The 20,877-nt window shown below is 45.0% G+C and overlaps 2 protein-coding genes across 7 annotated transcripts in view, besides 3 other annotated features; one reads left to right on the top strand and one right to left on the bottom strand.

The window, feature by feature from the left end:
- SLC25A53 (solute carrier family 25 member 53) overlaps positions 1–18,712 on the top strand; it is a 57,796-nt gene extending 39,084 nt beyond the window's left edge. The window contains exons 1-3 of one of the 4 annotated variants that reach the window (XM_011530953.4): positions 5,510–5,610; positions 11,627–11,702; positions 12,638–15,478. In XM_011530953.4, coding sequence (XP_011529255.1) covers positions 12,669–13,592 — 924 coding nt within the window. In that variant the 5' untranslated portion in view covers positions 5,510–5,610; positions 11,627–11,702; positions 12,638–12,668 and the 3' untranslated portion in view covers positions 13,593–15,478. Of the gene's footprint in view, positions 1–5,509; positions 5,611–6,452; positions 6,619–11,626; positions 11,703–12,637 lie in introns of those variants that run through there. The other 3 variants (XM_011530952.4, XM_005262129.6, NM_001012755.5) reach the window with 3 other exon arrangements.
- Positions 2,084–5,403, bottom strand: ZCCHC18 (zinc finger CCHC-type containing 18). Of its 3 annotated transcripts, NR_026694.3 has the most exons (4): positions 4,925–5,403; positions 4,680–4,731; positions 4,353–4,492; positions 2,084–2,674 (listed from the first exon to the last, which is right to left on the bottom strand). NR_026694.3 is itself a non-coding variant. In XM_011531012.4 (3 exons), the coding sequence occupies exon 3, from the start codon at positions 3,812–3,814 to the stop codon at positions 2,603–2,605; it is 1,212 nt and encodes a 403-aa protein (XP_011529314.1). In that variant the 5' UTR covers positions 3,815–4,492; positions 4,653–4,731; positions 4,925–5,403; the 3' UTR covers positions 2,084–2,602. The 3 variants fall into 3 exon arrangements, 2 of the variants coding, with proteins under 2 accessions (XP_011529314.1, NP_001137450.1); XM_011531012.4 differs by having other exon boundaries at positions 2,084–4,492; positions 4,653–4,731; NM_001143978.3 differs by having other exon boundaries at positions 2,084–4,492.
- Positions 5,453–5,682: a silencer, noted in NCBI's record as "silent region_20923". NCBI's record gives its function as "represses an Ori minimal core promoter by ATAC-STARR-seq in GM12878 lymphoblastoid cells {active_cell/tissue: GM12878}" and the evidence as "EXISTENCE:reporter gene assay evidence [ECO:0000049][PMID:35858748]".
- Positions 6,880–7,119: an enhancer, noted in NCBI's record as "active region_29825". NCBI's record gives its function as "activates an Ori minimal core promoter by ATAC-STARR-seq in GM12878 lymphoblastoid cells {active_cell/tissue: GM12878}" and the evidence as "EXISTENCE:reporter gene assay evidence [ECO:0000049][PMID:35858748]".
- Positions 12,765–13,264: an enhancer, noted in NCBI's record as "H3K27ac hESC enhancer chrX:103349345-103349844 (GRCh37/hg19 assembly coordinates)". NCBI's record gives its function as "activates a minimal SCP1, AML or CMV promoter by ChIP-STARR-seq in naive H9 embryonic stem cells {active_cell/tissue: H9 hESC(naive)}" and the evidence as "EXISTENCE:reporter gene assay evidence [ECO:0000049][PMID:30033119]".
- Positions 18,713–20,877: the final 2,165 nt, after the last annotated feature.

Genomic DNA, 20,877 nt, shown 5'->3' with positions numbered 1-20,877 from the left:
TGATCTTGAACCTCCAAGCTAACTCCAGTGAAAAGGAGGATGGGGGTAGGTGTAGCATTTATTCCTCTTTTCACTCTACCTGGTTTCAGAAAGAAATTATGACAGCATATCTAGGTAAATCATTCAATAGCATTTATAGAGTGAATTTGAGAAAAGGTGAGCAGCAAGGGGAACTATATTCTAATCTTGGAGAGATGAGTGGGCAAATCCCCTCCAAGGATAGACTTTGGGAGAGGTAGGGAGGAATAGGGGGCTGTAAGAGCCAGGTAGTGTTGGGGGACCCTGTGGCTTTGGGGGCTTGATGAAGCTGCCTCCTGCGTGGGTGGTGGGGTCCTCTTTGCCTGTGGTGAGATGGAGGTGGCTGCCAGGAGCCAGAGGTGCCCCAGAGGGATGCAAAAAGTGGGTCTCTTGGACCTTTACTCCTGCTCAGTTCTCAGCTAAAAGGTCAGAGGCAGAGGGGCCCTCCCAGTCTACTGGCCATGAGCATTAAGGAGGCTGAGGCTTAAGGCCATCATGGAATGCGGAGGAGGGGGAGGTGGTGATGGGCAGAGCACATGAAGCTGAGCCTCCATCTCCCTCCACCAAGAGGTGAGTGTGGCTCCAGGGAAGGGGAGTGGTGGTAAAGTGAGACTGTGATAAAATGGATGGAGCAAGGGGGATAGGAATGAGATTGCGGGGATATGGATGAAGCAGGGGGGATCTGAATGAGATTGTGGGGATATGGATGGAGCAGGGGGGATATGAATGAGATTGTGGGGATATGGATGGGGCAGTGGGGATCTGAATGAGATTGTGGGGATATGGATGGAGCAGGGCGGATAGGAATGAGACTGAGGATACAGATGGAGCAGGAAGGATCTGAATGAGATTGTGGGGATGTGCATGGAGCAGGGGGGAACTGAATGGGATTGTGGGGATATGGATGGAGCAGGGGGGTATGAATGAGACTGTGAGGATATAGATTGAGCAGAGGGGATAGGAATGTAATTGTAGGTATATGGATGGAGCAGGGGTGATAGGAATGAGATTGTGGGGATATGGATGGAGCAGTGGGGATAGGAATGGGATTATGGGGATGTGGATGAAGCAAGGGAAAGGGCCCAGGGAAGAGCAGAGTTGGAGGTGATTCTGGAAGGAGAGCACTCCAAGGTGGATTCTGGGCCTGGCAGCCCCGGGAAGGCTGCATTGGGCTCCTTGCAGTGTGTGGCTTCTACTCCTCCCTGGGGGCCTCAGCCTAGACCCTTTTGTCCCCATCAGCCTGCTAGCCTAATTAGAGTCCTAACCTCCACTCCCCCTACAACATAGCCCAGGGTTCTGTGTGAAACCTGTGGGTCTGCAGTTTCTGCCAGGCCTCCTGTCCCTGTCACTGTAGATGGGAGCCCACCAGCTTGGCCATCATACCCCTCCCCCTCTCCCCTGTCCTCCTGTCCTCCACCTACATAGCTCTGTGCTCCTTTCCCTGAGGTGCCAGCTCTGGCTGCTGCACACCCTGTCTTGTCAGCCCAGGGACCCCCTCTTTCCTCCCAGGCAAACTCCCTCAGGTCCTCAGGTCTGCATTCATTTCACTCCACTCCTTGCCTTAAATGAAATCATTCCCCCCTGCTCCTTGCCAGTTTTGACCTCTTCGTGAAGATAGGGACTACTGTACCTACCAGAAACTTGGGACCCTCAGGGATAGAGGTCACATGTCATCTTTTATCACCCTCTAATCTGAGGTCAAGAGATCGGGCAGGAGTAGTTGTCCCTTCCCAATACAAACAGGAATGGAGCCTCTGGAATACCCATTTTCAATTTTTGTCCCCCCCCCGTTCCCCATCTGATGTCTCATGATATGTTCAAGAAGAAAACATTGGAACATTATTAACTCATGGGTGCAGGGGTTGGCTCTATGACCTAGGAGACAGGTCAGTTGTGTTAAGGGGTTGTATGGGAGATATTCAGTCCATTTCAGCTTCCTTTCTCCTTTCCTATAAATGAGGTCGATAAAAACCCCTCCTCATGGTATGACCCCCCCTTATAGCTTCTATATTTAGTTTCATTTTTCTTTATCTTTCTAAAAGTAACATCACACAGAGACATGAAGTTAGATATTTATATATATTCATCGACATAGAAGTCCACGAGATACATTATTTGGTGAAAAATACACAGTATAGAACAGCACTTATATTTGGTCACTCTTATCTATACATATATCTATCTGGGTACACAGGTACAGGGAGATATCTGGAAGGACATTCACCAAAGGGCTGACAATGGTTACAAAAGGGTGCTGAGTTTCAGGTAATTTGTACTTTAGTTTTTGTATCTTCCTTTATTTTTGAAGGTTTAATGAAAAGATGCTCCTTTCATAAAAAGTATAAAGTCATCAAAGAAATAGACACATGGAGAATAGACCCTTAAGCCAGCAGAGAAGAGAGCAGGGACAGAGGTCACACCATTCCCCATCCACTGTGCTGGTATGCAAGACCTCTTCTCCTTCCCAAAGGAAAACTGCTTTGTGGATTAATTCATGCAGTTAGAAACCCACCCCCCTCTCCTGTTATTCCCATTACCAGACTCTGAATACAGTCAAGGACTCATTTAGGGCTGGACTAGATCCTTACTGTGGCTCAGAAGCATCACTGTGTTCTCCAGGGACCTCTTTTGACCTCTCCTCTGTATGTGTCAGCTCCTGCAGGGTGATGATCAGATTCTCAAAAACCTGGGCCTTGTTGCTCTCATTGTCACAGGTTTCTTTTGAGTGGCCCTCCTCCCCACAATATGAGCAGCGGGTTGTGTATTTTCGCTTCCTGGCTCTACGAATATTCCCAGGACCATCATTCTTATACCCAGAACCACCACTGGTAGAAAGAGACTGAGCCCCAGAATTGTTGGGGGAATCAATAACCAGCACTTGATCCAGAGGTCTGGCTCTTCCTCTGAAGGGAGGGGCACCTGTAGGTGTCAGTGAAGGGTACAGAGACACCACCAGGATCACATCCTCATCAGAGTCATCAAGGGTATCATCTATTTCTATCACGTTGCAGTTACAGTCAGCACTGCTGATTGCTATTGGCTGGGCGCCCTGAAATGCCACAGGGCTGGCTGCCCTCTCCATTATTGGCTCAGACCTTTTCGGCCGCTTCCGTTTAATAAAAGCATCATCCCAATCCTCTTCCTCCCTTATCATCTTGATTAACTCCAGGAAATTGGGAAGCCGCTCCTGCTTATTTGCATACATCCTGAGAAGATGCTTAAGCCTGAAGCGCAGGTCCCTATTCAGCTCAGCGCCTAAAAGAAGCTGTTGCAAGCGAGTCTGGTTTGCATCTTTCTCAGCTAGGATGCCTGCCTGAATAGCATTCTGGAGCTGCACCTCTAAACGGATCACATAAAGGGAGGCTTTCTCCCCTTGTGCCTGCAGGGTGTTAAAAAATTTACCATGGGCAGTCACACTGCTTTCAGACTCCCCAAACACCAATTTCATTGCCCGCAAGAAATCTGCTACACTTAGGTTGGGGTTGGCCGCCTGAAGCAAACGCATGACCTCCCGGGCAGGGCCCCTAAGTGTTTTCATCAAGCGCTTGAGTTTTTCCTCCTCAGACATACTCCAATCTGGCAGGACCTCATTGACTTGGATCAGCCAGTTTTCAAAGGTTTCTTTCCCCTGGGCTGGCACCACTCTTCCTGAGAACAACTTCATGTTTCTCTCTGCCATTTTGACCACTAAAGGACAGAGACTCCTCCCCAGAGACCTCAACATGGAATGGGCCCAAGGCGGCAAAGGTGCATTCTGCTGCCTGCTGTTACCCACACACGCAGTGATGCTAGCCATGACTGACGACGATAGGGTATCTGAATACAACAAGATGCTCGCGCTTTTTGGAAAAGCCTTATCTGCAGGATTCTCCAAAGCAACGTTCCTGGGCTGTGCCTGCCTTATATTTCAGTAGGGATTCTAAGGAAAGTAAAAAAGGTTAATAAGATAGTGGGCTGTGGGGAAGCAGTCTGCAGTAGCATTCTCTATCTTCCTGAATAGCCTTGCAGTGCATTTTATATCTGCCCAGTGCCTTAACAATACCCTGCAGGAGACTGGCAATTACAACATTCCAGAGCTAGCAGGTGTCCCTGGGCTAGTAGGTAGTTTTTCAGAGCCACATCCATCCCCTCCTGCCTGTACTCCAGGAGGGGCGACAACTGTTGCTTCTAATTCTAGATGACATAGTGTTGGGAGCTGATACTGGGCCCTCAAAACGGAACTCAATGGTTGTGTGTCACAGATTTATGATAATAAGAAACCATTAACCTCATGGCCTCAGGTCTCAATCACACCCCCTTGTCAACGTTTCCCCCGTTATTTCTCAGATTCTTACATGAGCTCGGAAACTAGCGTTCGCCTTTATTTTACGTGCAGCCTCTGCAACAGGTGCCTGCCGTGAGAAAATTAGCCTCTGGGGTACGGCCGACTTTTGTCCACTGGGTGTCGCAGATCCCAGTCCTCAGGGCCTCAAGACTGTGCCGCGAAGGAGGGAAAGGAAGGGTTGGAAGCAGCTTCATCTGAAAACCTGATACCTCCCCTCCACCGCCTCCACTGTCGCCAGGCGGAAAATTCCCTCTCCCATCTTCTGAACGCAAGCCAAAGTGCCTCCTGCCCTCCCGCGCATCCCCCTTACATTTCCTCCGGGAGACCCTCGCCCTACCAGCTCTGCAATCCGCCGCACAGAATTCAAGTTCGGATTCGGCTTTGATGACCTGCCAGGGAGAAAGAGACTAGAAGTTGGATAACCTCCCACCCTCATATTCCTTCCCAGGAAGAGATGAGGAGATGCAAAAGGGGTTCAAGACAGCTTGCGATCGTCTCCTCCCGCCCCTTGCCACCTCCCCGAACACACCCCGCCCCCGACACCCAACAACACCCCCGACCTACGACAACACCCCCACCCACCTTAATCCAGGCAAATCCTAAATCCTATCCAGTCGGCAGCATCCAGATGAACCACAACTCCTTCCTCAGCGCAACCAGGCCAAGGGAGTGCTCCATCCCCTGCCTCGCAGTTACTGATTCTCCAAGCCGGGCGCCGCCCAGTCCTGGCGGGGCTTCCCCCACCCCTCTCCGCGCCGGGCAATCGCGCGTTCTTTCTTTACTTGTGCTCCACTGGTGGGCAGCATGTGCTCCCGCGTCCACAGCTCTGTTTCGCCTTCCGGTCCCCGTAGCTCTGCAGGGGAACGGGATCTCTGCCGCCTCCTCGGCCGCTAAGCGACCCGGGGCTGCCCGACCTAGCGAGTGCGCACGACCGCCCAGCGAGGGGTAGCCGAGTCGAGGCAGCACGGTTCCCAAGGCAGCCAAGGCTGCGCCCACCCTCCAGTTCGGCCCTCCGGGCAGCCGCGGTTGCTTTCAGTCTCTGGCGACTGAGACAAAAGAGCGTGACGGGCCGGGCGACGCGGCCAATCAGCGGGGCGAGGGGGCGGCCTCGCCGCACAGCCTCCGGCCCCGAAGCTACTGCTAGCAAGAAGGGGGAGCGGGCCGGCTGGCCGGCGGGCCGGCGGGCGGGGGCTGCGGCAGACAGGCGCGGGAGGCGGCACGGCGTCAGCAGCTCGGACGCACGGACTGGGCCCATTTCCCTTTCATCCGTGAGTTTGCTGCTAACCCATCTCTTCCCTTCTCCCTATCCCCTTACACCTCGGCTCTCCTCCGGGCTTTTAGACCGGATACCTTAAACACGAGGTGGGACAGAAACCAAGTGAACAATGAGAGTTCCTCACCTTTGTATAGGGGGAAGCGGGGAAACAGCGTTTACTGAGTGCTTTCTGTGTGCAGAGGCGCCTGCATGGACATCTCCTTTCCTCTTCTCAGCAGCCGTGTGAAGGAGGTAGTAGTGTGCCCATTTAACAGGAAAGGACTGAAGCACCCAGGCAGTACAGTTAGGAAGTGCAGAGTTAAGAGCTCACACCCAAGTCACCATGTCTGACTTCAAAGGCTGCCCCTTGCCAGCACTCCTCTATTCTGTCAGATTAAGGGATAGTGGAGAAAAACCAAAGCCAGATGGGAGGACCAACTTGGGATTGCATAGAATTGGTGAGCAAGAACCATTATCTCCATTTCACAGATGAAGAAACTGAGCCAGAGAGAGACAGGTTACTAGTTTTGGCCTGTATCCTGCAGCAAATAAGTTACAGCATCCAACCTAGCACCGTCTGTTGCTCTCTAGATGCTAATTCGTTGCCCTGCAGCGCTGCCTGGAGAGTATTTTTGCACAGGTAGTCTCAAACCATCTCAACAGCAGTCTCAATGTGATAATAGTGCTGAGGGAGGGGGTGAGGAGGTAGTGGGGAGAGGGCTGAGGGAAGATGAGGGCAACCTTTATGGTGCCCATTGTACAGAAGAGGAAACTCTTCTTGGTACTTTTCTTTCTTTCATTTTTTTTATTAATCTTTTTTTCTTTTCTTCTTTTTTTTTCTTTTTACACAACAAGCTGCCTGTTTTATAAAAGCAACATAATTTCGACAGCCCTTTGTGACCCCAAAGAGGCCAGGCTCAGAGAGGTAAAATGATTTGTCTGAAAATACAAGGTGAAGCCAAAATTTGAACTGAGTCTCTGAATCCAGAACTCATGCTATTAACCAAAGTGTGAGTACAAGGTGAGCTGCCTCAGAATCATTTTGGAGAGCTTGTTATAAATGTAGATTATTGGGCCTTACCCCTGGGGGATTTTGATGTAGTAGGACTAGGGGTGAAGAGTGTGATTTGTAGTTTTAACCAGCCCTGTAGTTGATTCTGAGGTGTAGAGAGATTCATGAACCACTTTTCTAAACACCACCACGTGATGCTGAAGGTTATAAGTAAATGGGCCTGCCATCAGTGTATCTGTCCATGGCATATCTGTCATGAAATGTAACTCCAGAGCACAGGTTCCTACCCGAGGTCCTTCCTGGAATTGTATGCAAAGAATCTGGACTCCGTACATTCTTCTGAGCCCACAGCTTTGCAGATTTTCAAATGGGTCTGTCATAACGTCTTCCTTCTTCAAGCCATGCTTGATGAAGAAGTGTGAGAAATAAAACCCCATTTAACCTAACCCCCAAACCACAGCTCTCTGTTGCTGATATGGCTCTTTCATTTCCTGGCTCAAGGACAGGTTGCTAGGTTGCCCTTCTGTGAGCTCTTCAGGGTACTTCTCCTTTGCTGGATTTGGCATCACTGGCCCCAGAGAAGGAGCAACTCCATGGAAACGGCATGCAGGGCTGTCCAAAGTGAATGGCCATGAAGGCAGTGGCTGGAAAACCTGCTCCATTTTTCCCTGACTTAGAGAGCAGGTATTACTTCCTTTATGTATAGTGTGGCTAGGAGGCTTCTGTGGGGCTTGTTCTTGACTCCTGATGTTTAGAAGCAAGTAAACAGTCTGATGCCCTTCCGCTGCTGTTGGCTTCATCTTCAGTCTGCCAAGGTACTTCACTTGCTCCTTTCCGCCCTCTTATTTACAACCCCAAGATCTAGAGTTCCTTGGAGTAAACAATAAAAATTTGGAGATAAGCACCTTCCATCTCAGGATCATGGTCTGTGGATGGAACAGTGGGGTAGTGGTGGTGGAGGCTGGAAAGTGTGGATGTATGGAGAAGGCAAGTTGCTCACCTCACACACTTAGGGGTGATGCTGGCAGTTGCTCTTAGGTTTCCTTCAGACTTTTGCTTCTGCTCCCCCATCCCGTGACATCTGACCCTTACCTCCCAGAAGAGTCTTGTTCAGTGTTTAAATTGGCTTTATCACCAAATTAGGTATTTGCAGCTGGACTTGGTAGGGATGGAATCACATAGGACCAAGAATAGGTGTCAGAGCTCAGACAAAAATAATGACAGGAAATGGATTGTGTAAAGGTGCCAGGGTTGGGCTACTAGAACAAAGCGAGGGACTCTTCATGCAGGGATGGGGGTAGTATTTGCAACCTGGCTTCAATTGGATACAGGACATGGCCTCACATGTATGAGTGTGTTCCAACTGATGCCTCTAATGAGACCACATTTTCTAATTTCAACAAATAAACCTTAAAAGCTTGAAGGTTTGGAGATAAAGCTTTCAGTTGAAACAATAATAGCTGCCTTTGGCTGCCTGCCTCCTTTGTGCCAGGAACTTTCTGTCTGTTATCTCTTTTAAGCTTCTTATCAACCCTGTTGAGACAGCTATTGTATCCCATTTTGCAGAAAGGGAAACTGAATTTCAGGGACATTAAGTAACTTGTGTCAGGCTTCACAACTTGTAAGTGGAGGCACTGAGACTGCAGGCCAGGGATGTCGAACTCCAAAGCCCATGAAAACTCTTCTTTGCTGCCTTCCAAACAAGCAGTCCAAAATGCATTCTGTAGATAACCCAGTTCATTAGACCAATTGCAGCCTTTAGAACAATTTAATTGTTATCTTGCCTTTATTCCTATTATCTCATTTTTAAAAAATGAAACTGCTAATATAACTTATGAAGCAACTTATATACCAGGTGCTGTGCTAAGCACTTTCCATACTTTGTCTCATGCATCCTTCATGACAATCATTTTACATATAAGGATACTGAGGATCAGCGAGATGATGAAACTTGGCCAAGGTTATAAAGCTAGGAAGTGACAGAGTGAAATTCAAACCCAGGGCTGCCTGTATCCAGAGCCCATCTCTGTGCCCTACAACACAATGCAGCGGAGAAGACAAATGTGGTCCTCATCTTAAATGGGCTTCTCTCTGTCAACCACAGCTCTATTTCCTTCTCACCACATGGGGTAGGCCAGCCCCATGCACAACTCACACTCTTAAGCCTATGTGCCTTAGGCCACTTCCTCAGCCTAGAATGCTTGCCCTCACTCCCCTACCTAACAACAGCCTATTCTACTCTACTCAATTAAGGATTGAGTCATATGCCCCTTCTCAGGTGGAATAAATTGCTGTTGTCTTTTTGCTTCCACCTTCATTACTGTACCCTTTATTTTGTCTTTCTGTAGAGTTTAGCACACTGTTGACCTGTCTCCCAAGCTAGTTGACTAGATTTCTAAGCACTTGAGGGCAGGCACCAAGTTCTATTCACTCTAGCTCTATGGTGGTTTACCCACAATGATTTAGTGGATGATCAATACATGTTTGTGAGCAGACCAAAGGACTGGCTGAGAGATGCCCTGAATGAACAGACAAATGCATTCATTTGTGGCTGGATCCTGGGGCAGTCACACAGTCTACCCATGTGGACTAGACTGGCTGGGAGAGTCTGGAATCCTCTGGGCTCATTTTACTAGGCTGTAAACATAGGAGGCAGGTCATAGGGTACAGGTGATATCTGCTTAAGGCCAACTCTAGGTCCATTCTGTGGTCTATACTTTGAATTCATGTGAAGGGGCCAGGCTCTCCTAGATTGCTTATGTTGCACCTTCCTATTTGTGGAAGTAAGGGCTTCCCTGCCTCCCTTGGGAACAGAAGATTTGTTCCCAAATGCCCCTGTATCTGGTTATGGCTGTCCCGAGAGCATCCAGAAGGAGCATGCGTTCTGTGGAGACAGATAGTGAAGTCCAGAAGCATCTTTTTTTGATCCTTCTTATCAAGGCCACCATGTTATGGATTCTCAACCACTTTGTCTCATTTTATGTTATTAATCTCTGCCACAACGTTTTGAGGTGGATCTTAATACCCCTGTTTTGTAGCTGAAGAACCTGAGACTGAATGAAATGTCTTTTCCAAGGTCACACAACTAAGTGGCAGAGGCAGAATTCAGTCTCGGGTCTGTCTGCCCTTTCCAAAGCCTGGCATCTTAACAGAAAATACATGGGAGAAACACGAACTCCCCTCCCATAAAATGGAAAGGATTGGATTTATAAAATGGATTACATATTAAGGTTAGATGTTTCTCAATTATTGTTCACCTTTATTCCCCCAAAATGATTTACAAAAATGGCAGAAGGAGTTGGGGATTGAAAAGTACAATTCCTCTATCAACTATTGACCTGAATGCCCAATATCACCCCCCTCTGACAGATACAGTATGGAGATGACTAAAAATTATTTTGCCCTTTCTGCTCCATTTACAGCTCAGATGGGTAAGGCTCCAAGATGTCACTGAATTTCTAAAGGTCACACATCAAGTTGATAATAAAACTCACTTAGAATGCTGGTATCTCATACTACCCCACCTGCTTCCTGGCCTTTCTGGGGTAGGTGCGATAGTTGGGAGTCCTTGCACTGCCAAATCCTAGCCCAGTTTTCTTTCTGCTAAATCATCCTGCCTCATGGTGTCAGTGAACATGTTTATAAATGGTAGGGAGGAAATGGAACATTATTGCACTCTGAGGTAGAAGAAAGGACAAATATTTACTTCACCACCTGTCCTTATTTAGGTGAAGGTAAGACTTTGGAAAGAAGATCTTTGATAGGAGAGCTGAGGACTGTTGGGGGCTTCTGTAGATTTAGCAGCCTGGGTATCTGGGAGGAGTCCCCTTTGGCTCTGGAGAAATGGAAGTGGGGCTTCCAGGGGCCAGAGGTGGCCCAAAGGGATGCAAAGAGTGGGCCTCTTGAGTTTTTACTCCTGCTCAGTTCTCAGCTAAAGGGTCAGAGGCAGAGGGGTCCTCCCAGTGTACTGGCTATGAGGGTAAAGGAGGCTGAGGCTCAAGGCCATCATGGAATGTGGGGGTAGGGGGAGGTGGTTATGGGCAGAGTACAGGAGGCTGAGCCTCCATCTGCCTCCACCAAGAGGTGAGTGTGGCTCCAGGGGAGGGGCGTGGTGGTAAAGTGAGATTGTGAGAAAATGGATGGAGCAAAGGGGATAGAAATGAGAATGTGGGGATATAGATGGAACAGGGTGGGGTTATGAATGAGATTGTGGGGATGTGGATGGAGCAGGGTGGTATGAATGAGACTGTGGGATATGGATGGAGCAGGGGGGATAGAATGAGATCGTGGGGATATGGATGGGGCAGGGAGATAGGAATGAGATTGTGGGGATATGGATGGAGCAGGGGGTATAGAATGAGATTGTGGGGATATGGATGGAGCAATGGGGATAGGAATGGGATTGCGGGGAGATTGATGGAGCAATGAGATTGTGGGGATATGGATGGAGCAGTGGGGATAGGAATGAGATTGTGGGGATATGGATGCAGCAGTGGGGATAGGAATGGGATTGTGGGGAGATGGATGGAGCAGGGAGAAGGGGCTAGGGAAGAGCAGAGCTGATGGGAGTGATTTTGGAAGGAGTAGTACACCAAGGCGGATTCTTGGCCTGGCAGCCTCGGGAAGGCTGCATTGGGCTTCTTGCAGTGTGTGGCTTCTACTCCTCCCTGGGGACCTCAGCTTGGACTCTCTGGTTCCCCATTGGCCTGCTAGCTTAATTAGAGTCCCAACCTTCATGCCCCCATCACATAGCCCAGGGTTCTGTGTGAAACTTGTGGGTCTGCAGTTCCTGCCAAGCTTTGTGTCCCTGTCACTGTAGATGGAAGCCCTCCGTCCTGGCCATCATGCCCCTCCGCCTCTCCCCTGTCCTCCTGCCCCACACCCACACATCTCTGTTCCTTTCCCTGAGGTGGCAGCTCTGGCTTCTGCACACCCTGTCTCGTCAGCCAGGGACCCCCTCTTTCCTCTCTGGCAAACTCCCTCAGATCTGCACTGAGCATTCATTTTTTTTCTTTAGATCCCAAAATTCCTTCATATGTCCTGGCTTCCAAGTTGCTTCTCATACTAGCCATCTGCTTCCTGGCCTTTCTGGGGTAAGGAGCAATAGTTTGGGGTCCTTGCACTGCCTATTCTATCTAGTACAGTGGTTCTAAGCCGGGAGCAGTTTTGCCTCCCAGGGGACATTTGGCAAGGTCTCAAGATATTTTTGGTCATCACACTGTGTAAGTCACTACTGGTGCTACTGGCACGCAGTGAGCCGAAGCCAGGGAGCCTCTGAACATTCTCGAGTGCAGAGGACAGGCGCCAAGAATAAAAAATTATCCTGCCCAAAATGTCAATAGCACTGAGGTTAAGAAACCCTGCTCTATTATATAGCTACAGGTCTTAAAGGTTAGGCTTAGAAGTTGCCAGGTGCTGAGCCTTTAGGCACTGAACTTCCAGAAGCAGCTGCTCTTTCCTTTCCTCACTTGCTGGAGGGGGGCTGGGCGTTGCCATGAAACAGCTACAACTTGGGCAGGAATCTATGGAGAGAAAGGCGAGGGGAGATTCCCCCTCCCCAAATTTAATACCAACTTTTAGAGAAAGCATTGCACTTCAACTGTTAAATGCCTTTCTGCCTCTACAAGATAGTGCCAGATTTTTTTAAACAGAATAGCAATGTATTATTCAAGTAGTTTATAAAATGCACAGTTTCATGTCGTGAAAGTTGATGCATTAAGTTTTGGAGTCTTCCCCTCCTCTATTTCATGTTTTTCAGTCGTAATCCTTTGAATATTGGAATATTTGCTGTGTCAGCAAAATACTGTAGTGGTGGCTCTGTCCAGAAAAACTGATTGCCTTTCTTTTAATTTAAAGTTAATTAATTCTTAATTTCTTAAGGGTGTGCTTATATATCAGAAACTGGCTCAAAGAGTTGCTTGTTTCCGTCGACCTGAGTTTCTTAGGGTTCATTTCTAATTAAGCAATGAAAATGCTTGCCAACAGAATTAATTGGTCAGTCTAATCTCTTTTTTTCCACCCTTGCCAGTTTCTTCCATCTGCACCCAGTTGTCTTCAGCATGGGGGAGCAGAACCACTCTCCCGGGAAGGAGCTTCAGCACAGGACGCGAGCAGAGGCTCCAGGAAAGAAAAGCTGGCATTCCCAGGCCTATGCCCTTGGGGCCGTTTCCAACTTTATGTCTACTTTTCTGACCTTTCCTATCTATAAGGTTGTGTTCCGGCAACAGATCCATGCCATGGCAGTGTCAGAGGCTGTGAGACAGCTTTGGCATGAAGGTCCTCAATACTTCTACCGGGGAATCTACCCTCCTCTTCTCTCCAAGACGTTGCAAGGGACTCTTCTGTTTGGGACTTATGATAGCCTGCTGTGCTTTCTCTCTCCTGTTGGGCCACACACCCTGGGACACCGCTGGGCTGCCGGGCTCATGTCTGGCGTGGTGGAGGCCGTGGCACTCAGCCCCTTTGAAAGGGTGCAAAATGTGCTCCAGGATGGTCGCAAGCAAGCTCGCTTCCCCAGCACCTTCAGCATTCTCAAGGAATTCAATTCTTATGGGCTTTGGGGGCGGCTGTCACTGGGCTACTATCGTGGTTTCTGGCCTGTCCTGGCCAGGAACAGCCTGGGGAGTGCTCTATATTTTTCTTTCAAGGACCCCATCCAGGATGGCCTGGCAGAGCAAGGCCTGCCCCACTGGGTTCCTGCCTTGGTGTCTGGTAGTGTCAATGGAACAATCACCTGCCTAGTTCTGTATCCTCTGATTGTGCTGGTTGCTAATATGCAGTCCCATATTGGATGGCAGAACATGCCAAGCCTGTGGGCCTCTGCCCAGGATGTATGGAACACTCGGGGCCGAAAGCTGCTCCTGATCTACCGTGGAGGCTCCCTAGTCATCCTAAGGTCCAGTGTGACATGGGGCCTCACTACGGCAATCCATGACTTCCTGCAGAGGAAGTCGCACTCCAGGAAAGAGCTGAAGACTGACTAGCTGCAGAAAGTGTGGCATGGCAGCTTTGTTATTCTAAATCTTCCCTGGTTGGTTCTATATAGCTTACTTCTTTGGCTAGGTTGCCTAATACAGCCATCCTTTAGCATCTATAAACTCATTGCATGGGAGAAGTTCCCAACTACCAACCTGTTGAGCAAGGACAAAGCCCAAAAGTATTCCTTAGTCAAAAAGAAACGTTCACCCCAGTCTCTCCACAGTTTCAGTAGCCTCAGAGCCAGGAGGCCTTTAAATAACATGTAACCCAGATTAAGTGTCATTCCTTTAAGGAATTCCTTGGCAATAAACAGAAACTTAAAAAGATGACCTTACTTAGGCACTCTGAGCTCTGGGACCCCTCTAGGTGTCCTCCAGACCAAACTGAGTGGAACTCCAATTTCAAAGAACTATGCTTGACTCTTAGGATGGGAATTCCATAAAACTTCTCAGATGGCTACATTTTCATGATATTGTTCACTGCCTCTACCACCACCTCTCACTTCTCAAGGCTGTGGGTCCTACTTTCAGGGTAGCAGCTGTGGCTGGAAATCCTAAATTAGGCTTGCATGAACTCGTCAGGTGCCACAAGAACTAGTGGGGCTGGAGATGGGAGTGAGAAGAGGCGTGGCCCATGGATGGAAAGAATAAAAACTTTGAAAGAAAAGATTTAATTACATGCAAAATAGAAACATTTGCTATAGTCTGCTTGGTGTTATCTGCTAGGACATTTCTGAGAGCAAGGTGATAACATTGCCTAGAAACCGTTTGAGTTTCCCTAAGAAACCTGGAAGTGAAGTGACCATATCTCTTCACAGAAAATTGCATATTTTGTTGATGTGGTTAAATGTAGTTACTATGACATAAAGATCAGAAATCTTAGCCTGTCATTCAGAGCCATTCAAAATATGGTCATCATATAACTTTCAACATATTGTCACTCCACTTACATAAACCCCAAACACTAGCCATAATGAACTATTGTTCTCTCCCCAGACATTCCATGAACTTTCCCATGGCCATACTCTGGCCCACACTATTCTTTCCACCTGCAGTGCTCCTTCTTCACATGCCAGTCTACCAAAATCCTTCCAGTTCCTTGAAGCCCAGCTCAGAGGTCACCTTCTCTATGGAGTTCTTGATTTTCCCCAACTGAATGTGACATTAGTCTCTGTGATGCCCCTTTCTTTTTTTTTTTTTTGAGACGGAGTTTCGCTCTTGTTGCCCAGGCTGGAGTGCCAATGGTGTGATCTCAGCTCACTGCAACCTCCACCTCCCGGATTCAAGTGATTCTCCTGCCTCAGCCTCCCGAGTAGCTGGAATTACAGGCGCCCACCACCATGCCTGGCTAATTTTGTATTTTTAGTAGAGATGGGGTCTCTCCATGTTGGTCAGGCTGGTCTCGAACTCCCAACCTCATCAGGTGATCCACCCACCTCGGTCTCCCAAAGTGCTGGGATTACAGGCGTGAGCCACCGCGCCCAGCCTCTGTGATGCCCCTTTCTAACAGCACTTCATACAGGGTACTGATTCCATTATGTCACTAATCTCATGTGACCCTTTGTTCTTGTATTCTTCAATACCTCCTACTAGACTGTAAAACTCATTGAAAGCAGGGATTTTTGTATGCATTTTAAAATCTTCCATTGTGCCTAGGTGCTCAATAACGTTGGTCAAATTACTGAGTTGATTATCAAGCTGTGATATGGTATATCCTCAGGGTGCTGTCCCTTGTACATGACGATAAAGTTATTGACTCACTGTCAGCAAGACACGTGCCTTTGGGCTGTGTTTTTGCTTTCTTTTAATAATTGATTTAGTTTTGTGCTAATGATAATGATGCTGCTACTGATAATAATAATAACAATAATAAAAATTACTTTCAACTGGCACATTTGATGAGTTTATATTACTGATGGCATGTTTGCTATTAGCACCAGTTCAGGAACTGAAATTTCACAAACAGAATCACACTGTACAACTGTACCATTTGTTTCAACTCTGGAATTTTGAGGATTTCCAAGATGACATGTGTTATAGTTTCCCCCTACAGATATCTTAGTAATGCCCTCCTCTTGCATCTCCTTACTGAACCAAATTTGTCCTGTATTTGTCTTACTTGGTTGTAGATTTAGCAGTGAGAACTTCTCACTGAATGCCACAGAAATTAAAGACATGGTTGTTGGAGGTATGATGTCAGAGAGCATTTGCCACCAAGGTTGGCAGAAAATGGCTGGTCCAGGAGAGCTGAAGATGAGCTTCCACATCTGCAGATCGGGATGTGTTGGGACAGTACTCAACTTGTGGATTCAAGGAAGTATGAACACAGAGTCTGCATAAGGAAAGGAAAAAGATGCATTCATCTCCCAAGTACACTGGTGATTTCCACTTATGTCATTCTGTCCATCCATGTCCCTTTCTTCATTTTAACTTCTTATTTAAAAATAATTTCAAACATTTAAAAATGTTGCAAGCATAAATAAAGCTTAAAGAACACCCATGTCCCCTTTACCCTAATTCCCCTATTATTAATGTTTCTCCCCATTTGCTTTATTATTTAAGTGTGCACTCTGTCTATACACACACAGGATATTTTTTCCCTGAACTATCTGAGAGTTGCATACATCAGTTTTCAATATTCCTAGATTCAATGTTTGTAGATCCAAATTATTTTTTAAGAGACCGTGTTTTATCTCTGACAATGGGACAGTTATTACAGAATATAATAAAATGAAAACTCACACAATATATGTGATATTGTGAAATATATACTTGGTCTTTGATCCTGTTTCTTGGCATACAACTCCTAAAATCCTTAGAATTTCCAAAGTGATATCTTTTTGTATGCTAATAATTGACTGATGGCTGGCAGCCTCTGGTTGCTTCAGGATGGGAACTAGTCACCAGGAAGACCAAGGCACCATTAGAGGGTTGGGACTTAACAGCCTCATTCCCGACCTCCAGGGAGGGGAGAGGGATGGAAGGTTAAGTTGATCACCAGTGGCCAATGATTTAATCAATCATGCCTACGCAATGAAGCTTCCATAAAAACCCCAAAGCACTGGGTTTGGAGAGCTTCCAGATAGCTGAACATGTGGAGGTTCCTGGAGGGTGGTGACCCAGGGAGGGCACAGAAGCTCTGAGCCCCTTCCGCAGTACCTCACCCTATGCATCTCTTCATCTCTATCCTTTGATATATCCTTTATAATAAAGTGGTAAACGTTAAGTATTTCCCCAAGTTCTGTGACCCTTTCTGGCAAATTAAACCCAAAGAAGGGGTCATGTGAACTCAAACTTGAAGCCCATCTGTCAGAAGTTCTGGAGGCTTGGATTTGCGACTGGTGTCTGAAGGGCCTGGGAACAGTCTTGTGAAACCTAGTCCTCAGCTTGTGGGATATGACGCTATCTCCAGGTAGATTGTGTCAGAATGGAATTGGAGTACACCCAGCTGGTGTTCGCTGCAGAACTGATTGCTCACTTAGTGTGTGGGAAAACTCCACACATCTGGACATGGAAATATTCTGTGCTGATTGCCGTGGTGTAAGAGCAATGCAAAAAGTTTGGGTATTTTCCCCTCGGAGTATATTTTAAAGCTAAATTGCTAATAATTGCTTAAATTTACTATATTTGCCTTTATAAAAACTTTATGTATGTTGAAGCTTGAAGCTATGCAATTATAATATAAACATGGATTTACAACTAAAGCATGTTATAATTTAAATAATTGAGTTTTTCAAATCGGTTCATATGAAATCCTAGGCAATATTGTAAAATTATACAGACCTGTCAACTTTTTCCACTTAAAAGTTGTGAGCAAAATTTAAGGGCATAGTCGTTTTCAAGTAATTTTAAATGTCAATGTTAATATTTAGTTTAGTGATGTTAATGGAGCTATGTTTTCTGATATTAAAAATGAGTTTTAGGAGTTGAGACCAATAAAATAAGGAGGTAATAAATATCTATATCTGTTTAAACACATAAAATATACAATTTAACACTAAAATTACTTGGTATAAAAAGTCAAAAAAAAGAATAAAAAGCCATCATACAACACAATATATGCGTGATATATATTTTTCTCTAAATATAAACTACATCAGCTTTTATAAAGCTCAAGTTGAAATAATAACGTTTTATGACAAATCATTATATGGTATATTCTGACTTAATTTTGCATTTACAATTTATTTTTAAACACTAAATAGCATTATAATTTTACTGGGATAACTATATATAGTGTAGTATATTAAAGTTAATAAAATGACGTTGCATATGAGAGAAAAAGCATAATAAATCAGAAACAATATAAAAAGCTTTCAGAAAAGATAAAAATATTGTATTTCTCTAGTCTGTTCACTCTCCAGTGTCTCTGGTTCTTTCATATCATCTTCCTTTCCTCAAATCTTTTAATACTCCCTCCCTCATCATTTCCAACTAGTGACCCTACTTTCTATTTCATTAAGAAAACAGATACATTCAGAAGAGAACTGCCAGTTTAAAGAACATTTACAAAGCCATCACCCATGTAATAACCAGCCAGAGCAAGAAATAGAGCCCTTTAATAACCTACTCTTCTCCCCCCACCACTGATGACACCGCTCCCTCCATCTTAGGTGTAGCCCCCATGCTGACTTTTGTAATAATAATTTCTTTGCTTTTGTTTATAAGTTTTCTTCCTTATAAGCATCTCTAAACAACAGTTTTGTTTTACAGATGTTCAAACATTAAATGCTTTTTAGACTTGGAATTGTGACTATCTTGTTTCACTCCACATTGCTTGTGAGACTCATTGATATTGCAGATAGCTGTAGTTGATCCATTTTTATTGTTGTACAGTTTACCATTGTATAAATATACCATGATTTATTCATGATAACTTTGAGGAACATTCTGGTTGTTTGCAGGTTTTATTTTTACAGTTCATTAGTTTTATTGATGTATAATAATTGTATATGTTTATGGGGTATATGTGATATTTTGATACATGTGTACAATGTGTAATGATTAAATCAAGGTAATTGGGATATCCATCAGCTCAAACATTTATCATTTCTTTGCATTGGGAACATTCCAAATCTTCTCTTCTAGCTATTTTGAAATACACAATAAATTGAATACTGTGGTCACTCTGTTGTGGTATTGAACACTAGATCTTATTCCTTCTCTCTAACTGTATTTTTGCACCCATTAACCAATCTCTCTTCATTCACTCCTCTGCAGTACCCTTCCCAGCCTCTGGTAACCACAGTTCTACTCTCCACCTCCTTGAGATCAACTTTTTTAGCTCCCACATATGAGTGAGGACATGTGATATTTGTCTTTCTGAGCCTGGCTTATTTCACTTCACATTTCACTTCACAAAAAATCCTCCAAGCTCATCTATGTTGCCACAAATGACAGGATTGCATTATTTTTTTTATAGCTGAATACTATTAAATCGTGTACATATATCACATTTTCTTTATCCATTTATTTATTGATGGACACTTAGGTTGATTCCATAACTTGGATCTTGTAAATAGTGCCGCAATAAACATAGGAGTGCAGATATCTTTTCAATATACTGTTAAAAAAATTTTTTTGGATATATACCCAGCAGCAAGATTGCTGAATCATAATGGTAGTGCTATTTTTAGTTTTTTGAGGGACACCCATACCGTTTTCCATAATGGCTGTACCATCTTACATTCCCAATAACAGTGTATGAGAGTTCCCCTTTCTCCACATCCTTGCCAGATTCTGTTTTGTCTTTCTGATAATGGCCATTTTAACTGGGGTGAGATGAAACCTAATTTTTGACTGTTACAAAACGGTGCTACTATCAATGTTCTTGGTAGTGTGTATAAACACAGGTATCTCTAGGGCACTTATGTAAGAATGGAATTACTGGTTTATGGAATACGAGCACCTTCAATTTAATTGGATGATGCCTAACTTCCTCATGGCATGTACCAATTCACGCTCTTACTAGCCAGGTTTAACAATTCCCATTGCTCCACCTGCTGGCCAACACTTGGTATTATCAGACTTCTTAATTTTTGCCTATCTAGTTGGTGTAAATGGCATCTCTTAATTTGATTTTCCTGATGACTAATAATGTTGAGCATCTTTTCACTTGCCTATTGAACATTAGGATTTCCTCTTTTGTGAAGCATTTATTCTAGACATTTGTCATGTTTTCCTGTTGAGTTGTATGACTTTTTCAAATTAATTTGTAGAAGTTATTTGTTTTAATTTTAGTTCTTCCTCTTTTATATGTGTTCCATACATCTCTCCCCACCTTGCCACTTATTTTTCCATTTTAGTGATTTCTTTTGATAAGCATAAGTTCTAATTATAAGATAGATATCGAAGTTATCAATCCTTTTTTACGGTAAGTGCTTTTGTGTCTTTTCAAAGGAATCTTTCTATACTCCAATATCATGAAGATATTCCTTTATACTATAATAACATTTACAATTTTATGGTTTTGACTTTCATATTTGGGTTTTTAATATACTTGGAATTAATTTTCGTGTAGCGTATGAGAATAGAGGTCTAATTTTTTTCCTTATGAATATCCAATACCCTAATATCATTTGTTGAAAAGTCTTTCCTTCTCCCATTCAGTTACAATGCCAACTCTGTCAAATATCAAGTTTTCATATATTATTGGGACTATTTCTGACCTGTCTGTTCTATTCCATCAGTTTATTTATCTAACCTTGTGCCAGTACAGCATTGCCTTATTACCTGTAACAGTAATAATAATAAATGTCTTGATATCTGATAGGGAAAGTCTTCCCACTTCATTCTTATTCCTCAAGAGTTTCTTAACTATTCTTATTAATATGTACAGAAATAGATGCTGAGATTTTCTTTTCACAAAATTACTGTTGAGATTTTAATTTCAGCAAAACTTAACTGTTGAGGGTTTTTTTGTTTGTTTGTTTGTTTTTGAGACGAAGTCTCACTCTGTTGCCCAAGCTGGAGTGCGGTGGCGCGATCTCAGCTCACTGCAACCTCCACCTCCTAGGTTCAAGCGATTTTCCTGCATCAGACTCCTGAGTAGCTGGGACTACAGGCAGGCACTACCATACCCACCTAATTTTTGTATTTTTAGTAGAGATGGGGTTTCACTATGTTGGCCAGGCTGGTCTTGAACTCCTGACCTCGTGATCCACCAGCCTCAGCCTCCCAAAGTGCTGAGATTGCAGGCGTGGGCCACCGTGCCCAGCCAACTGTTGAGTTTTAATGTAAACAAAAATAATGGTTGAAATTCGAATTTTAATGTTTCTCCAAGTTTCATAAT

The sequence above is a fragment of the Homo sapiens genome, chromosome X (assembly GCF_000001405.40).
Source record: "Homo sapiens chromosome X, GRCh38.p14 Primary Assembly".
NCBI lineage: Eukaryota > Metazoa > Chordata > Mammalia > Primates > Hominidae > Homo > Homo sapiens.
Note: the sequence above shows the minus strand (reverse complement) of the source record. Positions and strands in the feature narration are given on the sequence as shown.